Source organism: Homo sapiens, chromosome 14 (genome assembly GCF_000001405.40).
Source record: "Homo sapiens chromosome 14, GRCh38.p14 Primary Assembly".
NCBI lineage: Eukaryota > Metazoa > Chordata > Mammalia > Primates > Hominidae > Homo > Homo sapiens.
Window position 1 is genome coordinate 105,917,933 of NC_000014.9, and position 20,580 is coordinate 105,938,512.

Consider the following 20,580-nt stretch of genomic DNA (forward strand, 5'->3'; position numbering starts at 1 on the left):
GGGGTCTGGGTGGAGACCAGGGTGTAGGCTGCAGGGATGGGACCCCAGGGTTGTCTGGATGGGCAGGAAGAGCAGCGGGGGAGAAAGGGCTGGAGGCAGGGTTGGGCCTCCCCAGGGTGTGGGGTGCAGGGAGGGGCTGCACAGGCTGTTCCCCTGAAGGAGGGAGGAGGGAGGGAGCACAGAGGTGCTGGGAGCAAATGGAGAGGGAAGTGGCAGCGGCCCGAGTGCCAGGCGGTCCCGGTTTGGGGTTGATCTTTGTGGAACAGCTCCCTGGCCCGTGTGTAAGTGGTCGGGGGAGGCACGGAGGTCTGGAGCTACAAGCGGTGGCAGGAAGGCAGGTCCCAGTCTTGGGGGTCTGGAGCTTATCTTCTTCCTGTGAACTGAGTGTGGGCAGCACCTATGGGCGGTGCCCTGGACCTGTGGTCTGGTGGAGTCCAGGCCTCCCAGGGACAGCAGGGCAGCCAGGGCTAGAGGAGCCTGAGGGTCCAGGTCAGGGTGGCCCTGGGGCCACTGCCTCCACCTTTGACCAGCTCTGCTGTGGGGATCTGGGCATGAGACCCCTTCACCCAGGAGGGGAGCCGCGTGAGTGAGACCCTAAGTCCATACCCCATGGGGGGCTCTGACCCTCCTGCATAGGGCCTGGACAGGGGTGGGTGGGGTGTGCGGGGGGCGGTGGGGAGCCCAGACTCTCCCAGACACAGCCTGCTCTGCTCCAGAATGTGGGCTTGGGCACTGCAGGCTGGCTGGGTCTGGGCTGCCTGGTGTGCCTGTGGTGGCTGCATTCCCACAGCCGGGACTGAGGCCTAGTGAGGACCAGGGAGGAGCCTGAAGGGAGCTCCATGGAGGACCTGCCTCGGATGACACCCCTATCTTAAGAAGGTCATGGTGGGTTCCAGCTGGGAGGAAGGGAAGTGGGCCACCTCCTGGGGGTCTTCCACCCCCACCACCTCAGCCTGGGGCCTCTGTGATTCCTCTCTGCACAGACCCCAAAGTCTGTGCTGCCGCAGGGCAGGAAGGAAGGGCCTGTGGCCTGGTCGAGGTTGGGGCCACAGTGGTGTTCCCTAAGCCCGAGTCTGGTCTCATGGCCCGCCCCGCAGCAGGTCCTGAGTGAGGGACAGAGACCGGGGCGGGGTCTTTGGTCCTGGTGGACTCTGGGGTGGATTCCAGTGGGGAGTCATCAGGGTCGGTGTCCCCCAGGGTACTGGGGTGTCTCTGCTCCTGGAGTCGGCTCTGGATGTGGGGTTTATGCCTGTGCTGCCTGGGGTTGATGCTGGGAGGTGCCAGTGACCCCCGTTTCCCTGAGGGACTCTTGTCGGTGGTAGGGTCAGTTCTGGCCAGGAGCACTGGGACCATAGCAGTAGGATGGGGTCCAGCCCCTTCCATGACCCCCTGGAGCCCTGGTCCCCGTCCTCACCATTCAGTGGGGTTCAGTGGGGACTCCACTGTGCTCTGGCTGCTGGGGGTCGTGTGAGCTGAGCAGGACCTAGGTTCGGGGCGGCTGCTCCCCTCTCTGGCGCGGCCTCCAGCAGGGGCCAGGAGAGAGTTTTGGACACAGTTTTTCTCACGGTGGTCGTTCCAGTTGTACCCACCGTGACTCGGGGCTGTTCAGAATCTGCCCCGGCGCCCTGAGCTCTGGGGCCTCCTGGATGGGGGCTGGGCTTGTGGGCGGCATCTCCTTCGGGGGCTCTGGAGGCTGGGGCTCGCTTTAGTTGTGGGGTGAGCACTGGGAGCCCCAGTTAGCGGAACACCCACAGAGACCGGGGCCTGTACACATTCCGCCCCGGTGTGTGGGGTGGGCCCAGGCCCCTCTGGGCAGGTCAGCTTCAACGGGGAGGGTGCTTGGGTCCTGTTAGTTTTCCTCTGGGTTAATAGGATTCATCTCCTGGCCCCAGATCCTCATAGGCTGCCCCTGTCCCTCCAGCAATGCAGGACATGGCAGGTCACCCTGGAGGGAGGCATGTTCTGGCCTGGGCGTCAGGTGTGGCACCTCAGATCCTCCATGCGTGCTGTGGGCTGAGCAGGACAGCAGACGACCCCGGGCCCCCACCCTGTCTATGGACATTTTTTGCTGCAGCAGCTGTGGGAGCTGACAGTGTTCACAGCCACACCAAGGTCATCATTGTAGTCAAGGCTTTCTAAAAGTTTCATTGTGAGGAAGCCTCCTATTAAACGGCGCCTGGGCCCTGCTTCCTGAGGGTTACTGCTGAGTCCCGGATTTCCCGTAGAGGCGACGAGAGGAGAGCAGAGGGAGGAGGAGGGGGATGAGCTGGGCCCTGCAGAAGGGGGTGCTTGGGTTGGGGTCTGTGGAGTGAAGATCTGGGCTCCTAGGGGCCACCCAGACAACCATCCTCCCTGTTCACACCTTGAGGGTCCCAGCAGGAGCCAGGTGGGGAGACTGTGAGGAGAGGGCCTGTGTCTTGTCTTCCTTGGGCCGTGGGACAGGGTGGAGGTTGAGGGCGTCTTTCCCAGGGGATCACAGAACAGCACCTCTGCTGTGGGGGGGCATCCAGCACGGGGGGCTGGGCTGTGGGGTGCAGGGCAGGAGGGGGCGTGCACGGGAGGGGTGTGGCCCAGTCATTCCTGCATTCACAATCTTTCTTGTCCTGGGCACCTGCACTAGACCCTCGCCTGGAGGGGGCGGCTTCCTAGCCTGCAGCGTCCCTGGAGTCTGCTCTGACTCTGGACCTGGGGACAGGAGCCAGGCAGGAGGTCAGCAGCCTCCTAGGACAGCAGGAGGGCCCAGGCCAGTGCCTAGCAGACTTCTGCTGGAGTGGGGTCCCCGGGGCAGGGAGATAATGATTTCTAGAAGTGTCTGTGTCTCTGAGTGTGCAAGTTTGTCCAAACTGTCCACCAGGTGTGATTAGGTAAACATAGGCAGACTTGAGTTCAGGTGGAGGAAACTGAGTTTTGTCCTTAACTCCCTACCGACTCTAGGGGAATGAGCCAAGCTCCATTATCATCTGTGCAGAGGCCACAGCCTTGTAAAGGGAGGTGGTAGGGGAGCAGGGAGGGTGCTCGGGGCTCAGTCGTCGGGGAAGGGAAAAGTTGCCCAGCGCTGGTCAGCGTCCCCGGGATGGGGCCAGTTGTGTCCGTGCCGGCCACTGTTGAGGTCAGGATTCTGTCCTCCCAGAGCCTGGAGACACAGGCCCCATCCTTCCCAATGGGGACACTTCAGGGAGCGGCTCTCAGGTCCCGAGAAAGACCTTCCTGGCCACAGGAGACACACGGACATCGGGAACGGACGGAGGAAGGATGTGCAGTTGCAGCCTTTTCAGCAGACGCCCTGAGAACGGGAGGTCAAGAGTTGGAGCAGACGGTCAGTTCTGGTGCGTGGAGCTTTCTCAGGCAGGTGTTAATGGGGCTGGGGTCAGCCTAGGGGTGTGACCTGAAGCCACTGGAAGCCTTGCTGGGGTCTGGCTCTCTCTTGGTGCGGGGGGTGGAGGGAGCCCTGACAATAGAGCACTGGGGGGCCTCCAGGAGACCATCCCTGCAGCAGCTGGGCCATGCTCTGAGGACCAGGAGACCATCCCTGCAGCAGCCGGGCCATGCTCTGAGGACCAGGAGACCATCCCTGCAGCAGCCGGGCCATGCTCTGAGGATGTGGGACGAGGACCCCCACTGTCTCTGAGTGTAGGGTGGTGACTTCTTTGCACAGACTGGCCAGGGGTCCCCCAGGGGCACAGTACAGGTATCCCTGGGCTGCAGGGCTGGGGGACATCAGAGCGGCTCTCTGGGCTTGGCAGCCACCTCAGGTGGGATCAGAAGGGGAGGCAGTGCCTGGTGCTTCCCCTCCAGGCCTCTCTCCATGGTGTCCAGGGTAGTTTCTGGGGCTTTGGTGCCAATTCCTCAGGCCAGGGTCCTACCCTTCTTGGTGCCGTGATGCTTGGGGGCTCTGGAGGAAGCCCCAGCTTTGGCCACTCCTGCACTGCCTGGGGCTCCAGTCCTGCTGCGCCTTGAGGGGAACCCAGGGCCCCAGCCTTGGCCCTGTAAGGTCAGATGGGGGCTGGGCTCCAGCATCCTGCCGCTTGGTTTAGTTCCTAAATGACAGGGAGGCAGACTCTGGCTGAGCTCAAGACCTGTCCCCAGGCTCTGCACCAGAGCAGGGTCCCCCAGCAGAGGCTGTGTGGAGCTGGGCAGGGTTCCCACTTTGTGGGGAGTTCCCTGGACCTGGAGACTCAACCCTCAGCCTCCTTGATGATAAATGATGCGTCCTGTGACTGTCTTGGCCCAGACCATCAGATGGCCTCCTCACCTACCCCTCTTCAGACAGGGCCTCAGACCTAAGGCAGGAGCACCCCCTATGCCAGACCTCCTGGGTCACAGGATATGCACGGACATTGGGAAGGGATGGAGGATGGACGGAGGAAGGACGTGCAGTTGCAGCTCTTTCTGCAGATGCCCTGAGAGAGGAGGTAGGAGCACCCTTGCTGTGGTTTGAATGCTTCTCTCCTCCAAAACTCATGTTGAAATTTCATTGCCATTGTAACAGTATGAAGAGTGATTAGGTCATAAGGTCCCCACCTCATGGGTGGGATTGGTGCTGTTATAAAAGGGTGAGTTCGGCCCCCTCTTGCTCTCTTTCTTGCCTTCCGCCATGTGATGACACAGCAAGAAGGTCCTCGCCAGATGCTCCTGGACTTGCTTTGGACTTTCCCTTGCTCTTGGACTTGCTCTGGCACCTGTGCTCTTGGACTTCACAGCCTCTAGAACTGTGAGAAATAAATTTCCGTTCAGTATAAATTTCCCAGTCTTGGGTATTCTATTCTAACAGCACAAAACAGTCTAAGACAACCCCAAATTCAGACCTAAGGTGAGATAACCCCAACCAATATCTAAGGATCCCCTGCTCCAGACCTTGGTGGTGAGGTCAATACAGGACTCCCTCTGAGGGAAGCCCTGACAGCGATGCCTGGGAAGGCATCTCTAGGGCCCAGTGGGCCAGGGGAGGCCCAGGACACACCTGCATCATCTCTCATAATCCCTCCATTCTGTTATAACAGGAGCATATGCTTATAGCATACTTTAAAAATTAGCCCAAAACTGAAGGTAAGCATCGATTAATTGATGGACTCCTTTTCACAGTTTGGTCTTTGTATTTACACCAGTCATCTCACAATGCGTGTTGAGCTTTGCACCCTTTTACCAAATGAGGTCACCCCATGAATGCTGTCATGTTATCACAGATATGCGGTAAGTATAATTGGGAATGTTTGCGGAATAATCCCACTAATTTTACACCACAGTCATCTCACAATGCGTGTTGAGCTTTGCACCCTTTTACCAAATGAGGTCACCCCATGAATGCTGGCTGTCACGTTATCACAGATATGTGACAAGTATAATTGGGAATGTTTGCAGAATAGTCCCACTAATGTATGCACCATAATTTCTTCAGGCACTATCTTGCTTTCAACTATTTTATAATTATAAATAATGTTCTGAAGAATGTCTGTTCACAAAGTGTTTTCCTTATGTGTGCTAGCCATTTGTTTTCTTTTAGAAATTGTGTTATATCCTTTTTGCCGATTTCTTAAGGGATTTGTTCTTTTTCTTATTAGCTTATGTATGTTGTTTGCATAATAATGGTACAAGACCTTTACATATTAGATTAATATTATTTGAGTTTATTATTTACTCTTGTTTTGATGATTTTTAAATGTAAAGAATCTGTAAAGGTGTTACCTAGCTTCATGATTTGGGTTTGCAGTGAAGCCTGCCCAACTTTAGGCAGCTGTCTGGGCCTGTGTTTCCAGAGCTTGAAGGAGTCTCTGCTTCCCTCTGGAGGGCTGGTGTGATATCAGTGTTCTCTGTCCAGGCCTGGGTGCCCTCCTGGGTCTGGGCTTGGGCTGGGCTCTTAGATGTCTCAGAGAAATTGAGACTCTATTAATCATCTGAGTCTTTCCATTTCTGGTGAGATGATCATGGGTCATCATTGGCCTGAGTGGTGGGATGAGCTATAAATAGTTCTAAATTCCTGGTGTAAGTCCTTGTTCAACGAGATGGACAGAATTTGGCCTTCTAGGATGTCATTTATAACATTTGGCTCTTTGCCAAAATGCAAGTTAGCCCATGTTTTACTCTGGGGACTGTGAATTGTGATCCCTTTAATAGACTTTCCCATGTTCCTCCAAATCCTGGAGCAGTTCTTATGGGAACTGATTAGTTTTGTGAAAGTCTAAACTTCACCCATAAAGCCATCTTGGCCTGAAGTCATCTGTGAGGGCAATTATTTAATAATCTTAATGCTTTCTTGAGGATTACTGTTCCAATTATGATTTCCATTTCTCCTTGAGTCAGCTTTAAGTTTTATTGCTAGAAAAGAAAAATGCCAACTTGCCGTCATCTCTGCTGTCACTATTTTGTGTTCAACAATTGCCTTCTCTATCTGCTGTATCTTTTTCAGCACAGAAGCTGTAATGTTATTAAACAAAGCAATGTATCCAGATCACTCAGAATCTATGCCTGTCACGGGGAGCAGGAGAAGAGGGTGAATGAAGAGCCACAGCATGGCAGGGGAGCCACTGCAAGGATGCTGAAACTCGTGTGAACAGAGTTGCTGTAGGCAGGCTGCTATGGAACCTTTTGGGGAAGCACTGCCTCTTAGGGATGGCAGTGAAAATGGGAGAAGAGGGTGGCATTGCCTCCAGATGGAAGATGTAGTGCTTTGCCTTGCTCCTTGGTGCTTGGAGAGGGAAAGGGATGCTGCTGTAAAGTTCCTGGCTGGACTTTGGCTTGATAAAGCACGGGCACCTTTGGGAGTATGAGGGTGGGTGGGTGTGCACATCTTCCATGAGGAGCTGTTAGTATTGGGGCAGACGTTTCAAGTATGGCAGACAAAGGATGTTCTGCGTGGGGAAATGTGGTGACACCCATTTCACAAGGACAGCTCACATAGATTGAGTGCTCAGGAAGGACCAGCACCATACCCAGTGCCTGATGTGTATCATCTCAATTAGTCCTTGCCTCAGATGCAAAAGGAAACCATCGCCATCATCATCACCACCATCATCATCTTCCTCCTGTGCAGATGGAAAGGCTGAGGCATAGAGAGGTGACGGAGTCTGCCCAGGACTGCAAGCCTGCTGGTGGCAGAGCCAGGTTCCAATGGAATGAAGGCTGTCATCCTCAGATGGCAGGGTAGGCAGGTGGCTAGAGCTCACTTGGGAGAAGGGGAAAGGACACTGACTTTGGCTAGGGATGGAGCAGAGCTTGGGCTGGCTTTCCATGCACGGGCAGGGGGCGTGGCTCATGGCTACGCTCCAGCCCCGGGTGTGGACATTGAATCTTCCAGGTCTACCCTAGGCTATGGGTCTGGACAGCACTGTGATGGAAAGAAGACACTCTATGTCCTGCATTCTGTGACCAATGATGTGACTGTGGGAATGGCGCTGGCATCTGGCTGCCACTCTGGGACGGGTGGCCAGCTGCCATCAGGCCCCACCCAGGATGGGACCACCATGCGACTTCTTCCCTCGCTCCTCCTGGTCATGTCCAGAGCCCCAGGAGGACCAGCAAAGCCTCTCGAGCCGATGGCAGCTCACGTTCTACCTTGTCAGCTACTCCTCTCCTGGGCAACATTGGCTGCTTGCTGTGGCTCTCCCCGGGGTATGTGACTGCCTCTGTGCTGGGCACCTGGCCTGGGCTTTCCTTCTGGGCCTGGGCAGCTGGGCTCAGCTTGGACCCAGGCAGCAGCCACAGAGGGGCCCATGGAGGTGACAGAGTTGCTTCTATGATGGTGAACGGGCAGCTGTGACACGGAGGAGGCGACCACTCCTCAGTTTCCAAGTGCTGCGGTCAGGGCCGGGGCCAGCAAAGTCCCTCCCATATTCAAAGAGTGGGTTTGGGTTTGTCCCAGGAGGACATAGTCAGGAGCCCATGCTGGCACATGCCTCCTCCAAAGTTCAGCCTGGATCCCCAGCCTCTGCCAACGGCCCCGCTCCTTAGCTAACCCAGCTTGCTCCTGGGTTCCACGGCGGAGTCAGATGTTTCTGGGCAGTTTCACCTTTGTGCCTTAAATGCATGTTGAGGACTTTAAGGAATTGTGGAGAAATAGGGCTGTGGCAAAGGCAAGTGACAACTGGGAACAATGATCCTGCAGAGGCTGCTGAGGCCTGGGCCCCAGGGGCGTGGGTTCATCCTTCTGCCTGGGCTTTGGTGGGAGGGGCAGACTCTGTGGTCTGAGACACAAAAAAACCCAAAACATACGTGTGTACAGACACACAGCAGAGCCACACACACACTTGTGCCCATGCACACACTCACAGGAGGCCCGTGGACTCCGCACAGGGAAGAAACTCCTCCGGTCGACAGTGGACGGCGCTGCAGCAGGGACTCACCCCCAAGCCCTGCCTGCCTCCCATTGCCCACCTGGCCCTGGCTTGATGGGCTTATCTCATGCTGTGGCCGGGGACCTCTTGCTTCCTGCAACCCCTTGCTGGACTGGGGCCTGGGCCTCTCCTGGGCTGTGCCTAGGGTTTGTAACCCAGGGCCTGTGCCGGCGTGCACAGAGCATCTCTCCCTGGGAGGCTCAGGGCTGCCTCCTCGAGCTCTGTGGGCCTGCACTGGCCGGTGAGCTTGTGGTGTGGGTTTTCAGGCTGTATCCTTCTACCTCCTGAGCCCAGGGGTCCCAGGCGCCCTGCAGCTGTCTCCTCGGCCATCCTGTGGGGCCCCGAGGCCTTGCCCTCACTTCAGTGCCTGGGTGCTCAGGCTTTGCCCAGGTGCCAGGAGAAGGTGTGAGCATGAGCCTATTGGACACACCTGGCGACGTATACCAGGTGTCCCACCCCTGCCACCATGGGGCCTCCCGATACGGCAACCACCACGGACCTGTGGGGACCAATGAGGAAAGAGAGAGGCAGGTCTGGGCCAGGCTCACAGGGACTCCGGCATAGCAGACCCTGCCCCAGCAGGCCCCCTTGTCCTTCCTGGGTCCTGGTCCTTCATGAGGAACTAGCCCATCCCTGGTGGGGCTCCCACCCCGCTTCTCAGTGGGCTCTATGCTTGCCTCGTCGGAGTCACCCCTCAGGCAGTCCTGGGATCCTCTCCTTTAGACCCACTGTGCCTTCCCGGCCTCCCGGGCTTCTGCTGGGGGCAGAAGAAATGCCTCCCCAGGTCTGTCTCTGGAGGCTCTGAGGGAGATGGGCTTGGGGGCTGTAGGAGGAGGCAGGGATTCCAGGGTGTCAGGAAGGCAGGGGTGCCAGGTCCCACCTAGTGAAGTAATAAACCGTGGGTGGTGATAGTGACCCAGTGCCCTCACTGCCCAGCCCCGCCTGTCCTCAGCCAGCACTGCAGGGATCCCAGGCCCAGACTCTGGAGGCCTTCACTGATCCCAGCCACCCCAGAAAAGCTGCAGCCTGCAGGCACCAGCCGGGCCATATGCCCAGTGCCAGCTAGGGCCCACCGCCCATCCTGCACACGGGGCCGCTGGGCAGGTGCCCCTCACACCCCCAGGATGTCAGTGCTCACCTCGAGCAAAGCGCCCCAGCTCGGCCTTGGGAGGTGGTCGTGTCCAGGGGGATGATGGAGAGCTGTCCAACCAAGAGAGCGGGAGGGAGGGAAGGAGGGAGGGAGAGAGATAGAGAGAGAGAGAGAGAGAGAGAGAGAGGAAGTGTGGGCCCTAAGGCTGCCTTAGTGGAGGTGCGCGTGGCCTGCACCTCACCAAGCCTAGCCACTCTCGCGGCTCTGAGTGGCTCACAGGCTTGTGAGGGCCCCGTCGCTGCCTGCTGGGTCCCCACCAGGGCTCCCTCTAGGAATGCGCCATGGCTGCTATGACAATTTGCACAGCCCAGTGGCTTAAACACCATTTATACCACAGGTCCAGATGAATCCTGCAGGGCCAAGGTCTGGGGGTGCTGGAGGCCATGCTCCCTCCAGGCTTGCGGGGAGAACTTCCCTGCCTCCTCCAGTCTCTCCATCCCTGAGCTCTCGGCTCCTCCTCCGTCTTCAGGGCCAGGGCGTAGCGTCTGCTCTCTCGGCCTCTGCCTCCGCTTCCCACCTCACCTGGCTTCTGTCTATGTCAGTCTCCCTCTGCCAACCTCCTAGAAGGACACTTGTGATTACATTAGGGCTCACCCCTTTAATCCAGGGGAGCCTCTCCACTTCATGATTTTCAGCTAACTTGCTTCTGCAAAGACCCCCTTTCCCTATAAGGGCACACATTCACTGGTCCCGGGGCTAAGGACCTTGCTCCAAGTCCCTCCACCCATGATGCTGTGCCTTCCAGAAACCTGTCCTCTGCAGCTCGGTCTTGACCCCAAGCCTGCTGGTGACCTGAACTTCACAGGGTTATCCCCTTGGACTGTGTGCAGCACGATGCAATTTCTGGGCCTGAATGTCATGCTCCCTGGGGCAGGACCTTGAGCCTGCAGCACACACTAGGCCACCTGCAGTCTCACAGGCCATGCCCTGGGTAGACAGGGAGGTGCTCAACCCCAGCTCGGGTCCTCTAGTCTGCCTGGCTACCATGCTTCTCACTCTCCTGCATCTGCAGACCCTGCGTTGCCATGTGAGGCAGGGGTGGGGTGGGGCTGAGGGCGTGGCTTTGGTCCCTGGCTGTCCGGATGAAGTACCAGAGTGACGCCACAGCCCATCCCGGTGACATGCTCACCCCCAACCCCCGTGTCCGGGACCCCGGTCTTGTGTGGTCCCTGATGTGGAGTCCTCAGTCCTTAAGATACATCCAGAAAGTCCTGGCCATGAATTGGAGGTGCAGAGTCCTGCAGAGCCTCTGGGCTGGGCTGGTGCCCCCAGGAGATGGAGGGCCTGGTGGATGCCCTCCTCCCTCAGAGCTGGGGCAGCTGCCTCCCAGGGGTGGGACTCTGGGCTCAGAGAGAGGCCCTTGAGCTGCAGCTCAGGGGGATGCGAGGCTTCGTGGACTGTGTCCTGGTCCATGTGGTGCACGTGTCTCCACCTCCAAGGAGAGGCTCCTCAGTGTGCACCTCCCCCACATCCGTCCTCTCTGCCGGCCCCGGGCGTCTGAGCAGTCATTCCATGCCAGCACCTCTGCAGCCTGCTGGGCCTCAGGTTCTCTGTGAGGGACCTCCCCGGCCTTCGGCGGAGGTGGAGTAAGCTCCGTCAAGGCAGGTGGCTTCGTCCCTTCCTGTGAGTGACACCAGTGATGAAATGGACCCCTCCACACAGGCATCCTCAGGGCACAGGGCCCTGGGGGCACCTTCCTCCTTTCGTATTTGTTGAGAAAAAAAGTGGCATTGCGCTCACACCAGGATGCTGGAGCAGAGCTGACATGCTCGGGAAAGGGCAGAGGTCACTGGGGGTGGGAAGGTCATCCAGTCCAGACTCAGCACCTCGTGGGCTGGTAAACTGAGGCTCAAAGTGCTGGTGCCAGGCCTGAGGCCTCGCGGTGACCCCTCTCTCTGGTTCCCAGCACCTGCCTGAGACCTGCCCCAGGCACCCATAACCTGGAATTCCCTGTTTCCTTGTCCAGGGCCTGAGGAAATGGCTCCCCAGGTCTGTCTCTGGATGCTCTGAGGCAGATGGGCTTGGGGGCTCTAGGAAGAGGCAGGGACTCCAGGGTGTCAGGAAGGCAGGGGTGCCGGGTCCCACCCAGTGGAGTAACAAACTGTGGGTGGCGTTTGGGCCTCCCCGCCTTCCCCACTGGGTGTGCTGGTGCTGGCGCTGCTGGGTCAGGGCTGCCCGTGACCCCAGACACCACTGTCCATCCTGTGAGGCTCCCGTCTGGGCATGTCCTGGGTGGATTCCTCCTTTCTGTTAAGTAGCTACATGAGGCAGGGGCTCCTGGATCCAAAGCAAATGACAGGAATTCCAGAGCCAGGTGCATCCACTCAGGGCAGCCAGTGTTGGTGGAGCTGCCTCTAGCACATGGAGGAGAGTGAAAGTCAGCCTGCCCCTCTCACGAGAAAAGAACCTGGGGATACCTCTCAGCCTCCAGCGTTGCAAGTGCAAGGCCAGTGGAGTTAATCTGCAACGTGCACGAGGGCGTGTGTCAGTGGCTGTGTGCAGGAGTGTGAGTGAGCAAGAGCAAGAGCGCATGGCTCCTGCTGTACCTCAAGGTGTGGGCTCCTGGTGGCTGCTCAGTGTTCCCAGGGGTGAGAGGCCTCATGTATCCTAGGCTGCCTGAGATTTCTGTGTGCTGATCGCATCCTCAGTTTCTTGTCCACCGCTTCACTGGCAAGAGTCCCAGGCTCCAAGGACACCCTCCCTGCACATGATTGGGTGTTAATGGTGGCCTGGGTTGTGTCTTCCCCTGGGGATGAGGGTTGGGTGTCCATGGTGCCCTGGGCTGTGTCCTCCCCTAGGGATGAGGGTCGGGCCTCCACGATGCCCTGGGCTGTGTGCTCTTATGGGAATGAGGGTTGGGTGTCCAAGATGCCCTGGGCTGTGTCCTTCCCTGGGGATGAGGGTTGGATGTCCAAGATGCCCTGGGCTGTGTACTCCCCTAGGAATGAGGGCTGGGTGTCCAAGATACCCTGGGCTGTGTCCTCCCCTGGGGATGAGGGTTGGGTGTCCATGGTGCCCTGGGCTGTGTCCTCCCCTGGGGATGACGGTTGGGTGTCCATGGTGCCCTGGGCTGTGTTTCCTTGGGGATGAGGGTTGGGTGCTATGGCATCCTGGGCAGGTGCTTCCTTTCTGCACAAGGGTTGGGTGACCATGATGTCCTGGCAATGGCTTCCCTGGGTTGCCTCTTTTCTGCCATGTGGGAAGAGCAGGGGAGGTTTAGTTGGTCTCAGCACATCATTCTCTCAGGATAAGTAGAAGAGTGTCTGAGCTGTGAGGCCAGTGCTCCAGCTTTGGAATTGTCTTCCCCACCCTCACCTCCATCCCATCAAAGCCCGACATGTCGTGTGGCAGCAGCGAGGTGGGTGTTGGCTGTTCTCTTGGGCTGGGGGTTAGTCGTGGACGGGGAAAGGAGAGATGCTGGTCAAAGGGCATGAAGTTTCTGCTGATGGGAGGAGTCAGTTCTTTTGATCTGTTGCACAGCATGGTGACTATAGTTAACAATAATGACTATTTCAAAATTGCTAAAAGATGAGATTTTAAATGTTCTCACCACAAAATGATAAGTGTGTGAGGTGATGGATATGCCACTTACCTTGTTTTAATCATCCCACAATATAGACAGGCATTGTCACTTTGCATTGTACCCCAGGAATCTTCACATTTGCTTTTTTGTCAATTAAAAATAGAGACACAAAAGGAGAGAGGGGAGAGCAATAGACTCTTCACGGAACCGTGGGCTTCTGCCTCCGGGTAAAATAAACTGCAAAAAGGATTCCCAGGAAACCGTTCCCTCTTTCAGCCCTTGGTTACAGGAAGCCGGATTTGGGAAATCTGCCTGGATGACATTCACATGAACGGGCACATACAGGAAAACACGGTAATGTAATTAGAATAGTCAGAGAAAAGTAGCCAGAAATGACATTCACATGAACGGGCACATACAGGAGAAAACACGGTAACGTAATTAGAATAGTCAGAGAAAAGTAGCCAGAAATGACATTCACATGAACGGGCACATATAGGAGAAACCATGGTAACGTAATTAGAATAGTCAGAGAAAAGTAGCCAGAAATGACATTCACATGAACGGGCACATACAGGAAAACACGGTAATGTAATTAGAATAGTCAGAGAAAAGTAGCCAGAAATGACATTCACATGAACGGGCACATACAGGAGAAAACACGGTAACGTAATTAGAATAGTCAGAGAAAAGTAGCCAGAAATGACATTCACATGAACGGGCACATACAGGAGAAAACACGGTAACGTAATTAGAATAGTCAGAGAAAAGTAGCCAGAAGAATTTGCAACGTGCCCTTGTAACACCAAATTTGATCAGTTTTTTAAAAAATGATCGTTATGTAGGTGATTGAGAAGTAAATGTATTCTTTTTTAAGGTAAAAATTTGGACCCTTATCATGCATACCCCCCTCTGTGCTCTTCAAATCAACATCATTATTAATATCTGTACATTTTTGCTCATCTGAGCCAGCACAGGCTGAGGCTGTCAGAATGGACACCTTTTGGTTGTTGGGTTTCTGTCAGTTTCTGGGGTGAAGCTGCGTGATTGAGAACGTAGCTCTTGGCTGCCATCTCGGGGATTATTAAGGACTGTGAACTCTATCCACAAGCCATGGCAATATCTGTCCCACCGAATGCTCCCTCTAACACACTCTTACTCCCGTGATGTGTGTTAAGGGCTCCGACGATGCTGAAAACAGCACAGGATGTGAAAAGGCAGGAACAGTTCTGAAGTCAAAGGCTGATGTCCTGTTTCTCTTTCCCTCTGTGACCGACTCCCTTCCCAGTGGTAACAAGTACCCACAGCTTGGTTTGAATTTCTGCACGCTGTTGTCTGTGCACTCGCTCACACTTACGCACACAGCAGGCATGTGGGCGATGCTGGGTATTTTGTGTATGAGTGGGATGCACATACACACATCTACATCCATATCATGCCCATGCATCTGTAACTTGCTTTTCCCGTGTAAGAACACTTCTTAGAGTTTGTTCAATGCATGTGTCTGTGTGAATGATTGAAGGCATTTCTAACCCATTTTAAAGATGGCTACTTAGGACCATATGGATGTTGTACTGATGTCATTTGACCACGTCCATTGTTTCCATCTTTTGGGCTGTTCTTGTGTATTTTACTTTCCATGTAACACTGTGACATTGAGAATTGGTACCTACAACAGTCTATTTGCTTTACATTAAATTTGTAGGCTAATTTGTGTACCTTCAGAGTGTGAAAGTTTTCTCCTGAGGAAAATGGGGTAATTCATGTTTATTCAGGTTTTCTTCTTGTCTTCCCATGTGCTTTCTAGTTTACTTTATAAATAATAATAATGTACTCTTACTATCTCTCAGTATACGGAAAGCACAAGTCAAAGAATATGGTGTGGGTTCTTTATTTAAATCTTCACAACACTAATCAGTGGCAGAGTGTGGATCCTTGCCCCCCAGCACGGGACTAGCCAGTGGCAGAGTGTGGATACTTGTCCCCAGCATGGGACTAACCAGTGGCAGAGTGTGGATCCTCGCCCCCCAGCACGGGACTAGCCAGTGGCAGAGTGTGGATACTTGTCCCCAGCATGGGACTAACCAGTGGCAGAGTGTGGATCCTCGCCCCCCAGCACGGGACTAGCCAGTGGCAGAGTGTCGATCAGACTTCTGGGACCAGTGCCCATTTTCCCAATCACTGCACAGTATAGCCTTGGATGGCATGAGCTACCTTGGTGTCTAGGTCGTTTGTTGTTCCCATGAATGGGTTTTCTCTTTAAATTACAGTGCTATGAATAAAGCTGTTTCACACAAATAACATAAGCGCAGTCTCACTATTAAAATGCAAATACAAAATAGGAAAATTGGAACTTACTTCCAACAGCTCACCTGCAGCCGATTGTACCTTCCTGTTTCCTGCTGGCCACGTTGTCATATTTTCTGCTAAGTAACCAGCCCATCTGCAGGGTCTTTCGGGGATCTCACCGAGGCCAGGTGCAAATCATCAGTCTTGCAGTCATCAACAAACAATGCTGATGATAAAACCACACAGAAAATACCTTGAAATCCACAGCTACGCAGCAACATTGCTCATTAGTACATCCCATTCTTTGACCAGGGGTGAGGGCCAGGCAGGTACATCATTTATCACTTACATGATAGGTGCAGCTGTTTAAGTAGAATTTCTCAGGCCAACTCCAAGCCCGCTGTAACTAAAACTCACAGCATGGTGTTGGAGGGAAATGTTTAGCAGCAAATATCCGCATCCAGACAGAGGAAAGGCCTCAAGTCAATAAACTTAGCTTCCACTTTAGGAAACTAAGAAAATAGCAAATTAAACTTACTGTAGGCAGTAGAAAGGAAATAGTAAATATCAGAGCAGAAGTCAATGAAATGTAACACAAAAAACTAGGGAAAAAAATCAATAAAACCAAAACCAGTTTTTTAAGAAAATCAATGAAATTAAACTTTAGGCATACTGATTAGAGAAAGAGAGACGACACAGATGAGCAAGATCAGGGATTTAAGAGGTGCCATCACTACAGATTCTACAGATGTTCAACCTCTAAGAGAGGAATATTGTTTAAAAAAATTTTGACAATAAATTCAACAACTTAGATAAAATAGATACATTAATTGAAAGACACTGGAAAGCTCACTGGAAAAGGAAGAGAAAATTGAATTTTTAGTTAAAAACTTTCCCACAGTCTGTGTGCAGTGGCTCATGCCTGTAATTCCAGCACTGTGGGAGGCTGAGGCATGAGGATTACTTGAGGCCAGGAGTTCAAGACCAGCCTGGGCAACATAATAAGACCTCAAAAACAAGACAAAGCGATAAACAAACAAACAAACAGCTGGGTGTGGTGGTACATGCCCGTAGTCCCAGCTACTCTGAAGGCTGAGGTAGGAGGATTGCTTGAGCCCAGGAGGTTGAGGCTGCTGTGAGCTATGATTACACCACTGCATTCCAGCCTGGGCAACAGAGTGAGACTGTGTCTCTTAAAAAAAAACCCAAACCACAAAACAAACAAACAAAGACTTTCCCACAAAGAAAACTCTAGGCCAATGACTTCATTATGAAATCTTGCAAACCTTTAAGGAAGATATAATTCCAATTTTATACAAATTCTTTCAGAAAAATGAAGAGGAGGAAATAGCTTCCCAACTCATTCTGTGAGTCCAGCATTACCCTGATTGCAAAACTAGGCAAAGTTATTATAAGAAAAAATACCCTACAGACTAATCTTCCTTGTAAACATAGATGTAACAATTCTTAACAAATTTTGAGGAAATTGAATCCAACAATATGTAACAATAACAACACATGATGACTAAATGGGGTTTGTCTCAGGAATGCAAAATTGCCTTGATATTAAAGAATAAATAAATGTAATTATTCATGTTAATATAAGAACTGCATAATCATCTTAGTAGACAGAAAGCATTTAATAAATTCTAGCATGAGTGTCACATTAAAAGACTCTCAGAAAATTAGGCATAGGAGCAAACTTCCTCAATGTGATGAAGGGCATTTATAAAAACCCTACAGCTAACATCTGACACCATAGTAAAAGACCAAACTCCAACGTTAGGAAACAGGCAAGAATGTCTGTTTTCACCACTTCTGTTTAACATTGTACTGGAGGTCCTACCTGCTGTAACACAGAAAGAAAAAGACATAAATTTATCCCCACTGGAAAAGAGGAAAATCTGTCTCTATATATAGACCACATGACTGTTTGTATGGAAAATCCTATGGAATCTAAACAGTGCTGCTAAAATTGAGAGGAAATTTAGCAAGTGTGCAGGACATAAGATCAATTCAATTTCCTTGCTGTTTGAAGAACTTCCTTTAGCCAGTCTTTAAGAGTACATCTTGTAGCAAGAATTCTTTTAGTTTTTGTTTATTTGAGAAGGTATCCATTTTCTGCTCATTTCTGAAGGATAGTTTCATTGGGTATAGAATTCACAATCAACAATTCTTGAACATTGAAAAGTATCTGAGAAAGACTCCAGCATTTGAATTGGCATCCTTGATAGCTAATGCATCATTTCTCTCTTGCTGCTCAGTGCGGTCACTGGGGCAGTGCATGGAATAGATGGTGTTCAGTCCATGTGTGTGACCACTCAACATGTATTTGAGCAGGTGGGCCAGGTGGGCGCTGAAGGGGAGGCTGAGTAGGGTGGTCTGGTGAGTGCTTGTCTAAGCAGGGACTTGCCAGAGCATAGCCAAATGCAGGGACAGTGAGGTCGCAGAGTGGGAGGATGGTTTGGAGAGAGGGGCTCAAAATGACATAGGGGAGGGAAAATGTACTTATATTTGTTTCTATGTATAAAGGTGATAAGTTTATTGTAGGAAGTTTGTAAATTATAATAATAAAATGATATCCATTCAATTCTACATTATCCAATAGCATGTGCCACTTACAACATTGAGCAGAACGAACAGACTCCCCCGCATGGCTGGGTTCTCATCTCACGGCTGGAGATCCAGATAGGGCATGGCCATGGCATAGGTGTCTGGCAGGAATCTCCTTAAATCATCCCTGGTCATTTATAAATTCCAAACTGATGAGCTATTATCCACTCAGACCCTACTCAAATCACTCTGCCCTTCCTGACCACCACCCAAACCAATGCCTCCCAACCTGGTCCCTCTTCACTAACAGCATGGAGTGTAAGGAACCACCAAGTTCAAAGCAAAGGCCTTAAACACCCTGAAAATAAGAATTTGTAAAAACATGAATGAAACTGCCAATTTAAAATATTACCTAAAAAATAAATGTCAACAGGATGTTTTATTGCCAAGCTGACAAATTTTAAATTATTAATTCAAAGCCATAGTGTATTAGTCCATTTTCACACCGCTATAAAGATACTACCTGAGACTGGGTAATTTATAAAGAGAGGAGGTTTAATTGACTCATAGTTCCGCATGGCTGGGGAGGCCTCAGGAAACTTACAATCATGGCAGAAGGTGAAGGGAAAGCAAGGCACGTCTTATGTGGCAGCAGGCGAGAGAGAGAGCAGGGGAACCTGCCACTTTTAAACCATCATATCTCATGATAACACCCTATCATGAAAACAGCCTGGGAAAAACCACCCTTGATCTAATCACTCCCACCTGGACCCTCCCTGGACACATGGGAATTACAATTGGAGATGAGATTGGGGTGGGGACACAGAGCCAAACCATATCACATAGGAACCTAATAGGAGAATAAAGTAGGAAAACTTCCACATCAGTAACCCTTTATCAGTTGGTAATCCCAATCTGCAAAATAAAACTATGTAATTTTACCAAGATAATGGAATCTTCTCTACAGAAGGATTTTCCAGTGCAAAAGCTCCCCACCACCACCATGAAATGCAGGTGACCATTTCCAATTTGTGTAAAGTCCTCAGTTAGTACTGAGACTTTTGAAGGTCAAAAATCCCTTTGCTCATGCTGCATGATCTGGACGAGACATAAGAATTTTTAGCTAATAGACATGCAACAGCTTTTGTGTGAAAGATGTTATAAGACATTTAAGGTATTTGCTTATGATTAGTAAGTATTTGTTGTATCATTGGAGCACATGTGCTTATATACCCTGGAAAAATTTTCGTCTTGGAAAAGTATTATTTTGGGGAAAAATATCAGAAAACATATTGTTAGTCTTTGTTTATAGAGTCTCAGCCTTCTAAATTTGAAATTATTGGCAGTTTTCCTCCAATTGTAATGACAATCAGCCAATTTAAGGAGGTTTTCCAGTTGCAGAATTTTTATAGAGGTGTCCTCTGCTGAAATTTCAGTATTCACTACTTCTTAAAAACCCATGCCTGGATGGAGAATGACATCAGCAAGATGGATGAAGAACTTAGAGAAGCCTGGTGTTCACCCACACCCTCCCCATGAGGAAGGAATAAGGCAAAGAAGAAACAGCTAAGGTTTGACTGGAGTGTTGAAGGGAGACTGACGGAGTGCAGTGGAGGTGTGGAAACGCACCCGTGGTGATCGGAGGGCAGCATGGAGGCACCTGGCCTTTGCAGCCTTGTCTTCCCCACCCAGATCGGATTGGTCTGGACACAGGAGGGACTTCCCATGTAGGGAAAAGGTAAGCAGATTTCCCGCCAGCACCCACTGCCACTGCAAACATCTACAGCCCTTGCAACAGGAGAATTCCACAGGTTTTGCAAGCCCTCAGCCAAGTTTGGGAGCTGCCAGGAATGATCCCAGATTAGGAGCACAAGGTGTGTACTCCCTGCCCCCATTCATCCACTGTGAGCCTAGCTGCTGCAGCCCAGCGCCACCTTGAGACCGGAGCCGCCTCTGGAGTGCATCCTGCCCTGAGGCTGGTAGCCACTGCCCCTTTCTAGCATTGGGGCTCCATCTTCAGGATGCCCATATCTGGGTGGCTGAATGCCACAACCCTGGCTGTGCAGAGCCTAGGCTGAGGATTGGCCGTGACTCTGGCCCTGCACAGCAAAAAACCCAACCCCTGCTGCTGCACATCCAGCTGGAGGAAGAGCCTGCCAGGCCTGCCCAGGGTGAATCCACCATTGATTTGGCCAAGCTGCTGAGGGCCCTCCCCTGAGCAGGAGAGGCCCCTGAGCCACCGAGCACCTGATACTAACTCCAGGCTGGCAGAGTGGATATGTGCCCACACTCAGGCACCTGAGAAATAGCCCTGTGGCATCCACTCCAATTTCCACAGGTATGCCGTTGACCTGCCCAAAGGCTCTGCACCTGAAATTAGGCCTGAGAAACAGCATCATGGGCCACCCCTGGCAGGCACTCCTATAAGCCAGCAAGCAGCTGTGCGCCCATGACCCCGGCCTGAGAAATAACCCTGTGCCCCTGCAGCCCCCCAGCAGACACACACCCAGGCCAGCTGAGGAAGCCATGTGGCCATGTCCTGGGTCTGAGAAAGAGCCCATGGGGTGGCCCTGGGAGACACATGCCCAGGCCAGTTGAGCGGCCATGCACTTGTGTCCTGAACCTGAGAAACAGCCCTGTGGATTGCCCTCAGAAGCCACACCCCCAGGCCAGCCAAAGAGACTTGTGTTTGCATCCTGGGCCTGAGAAACAGCCCCATGTCCCCAACCCTAGTGAGC

At 52.6% G+C, this 20,580-nt stretch overlaps 1 long non-coding RNA gene, 1 gene segment (V, D, J or C) and 1 further gene; 1 reads left to right on the plus strand and 2 right to left on the minus strand.

Annotated features, from left to right (window-relative positions):
• Positions 1-20,580, minus strand: part of IGH (immunoglobulin heavy locus) — a 1,293,408-nt gene that overhangs the window by 331,496 nt on the left and 941,332 nt on the right.
• FAM30A (family with sequence similarity 30 member A) lies at positions 47-14,710 on the plus strand. Its single transcript, NR_026800.2, has 6 exons — positions 47-885; positions 3,218-3,326; positions 4,267-4,412; positions 4,609-4,711; positions 5,083-5,190; positions 6,404-14,710. It is a non-coding gene; the product is annotated as a family with sequence similarity 30 member A (long non-coding RNA).
• IGHD1-1 (immunoglobulin heavy diversity 1-1) lies at positions 1,570-1,586 on the minus strand. The segment is given in 1 exon segment: positions 1,570-1,586. A coding segment is annotated over 1 exon segment (17 nt), but the record flags the coding sequence as incomplete, so codon positions are not given.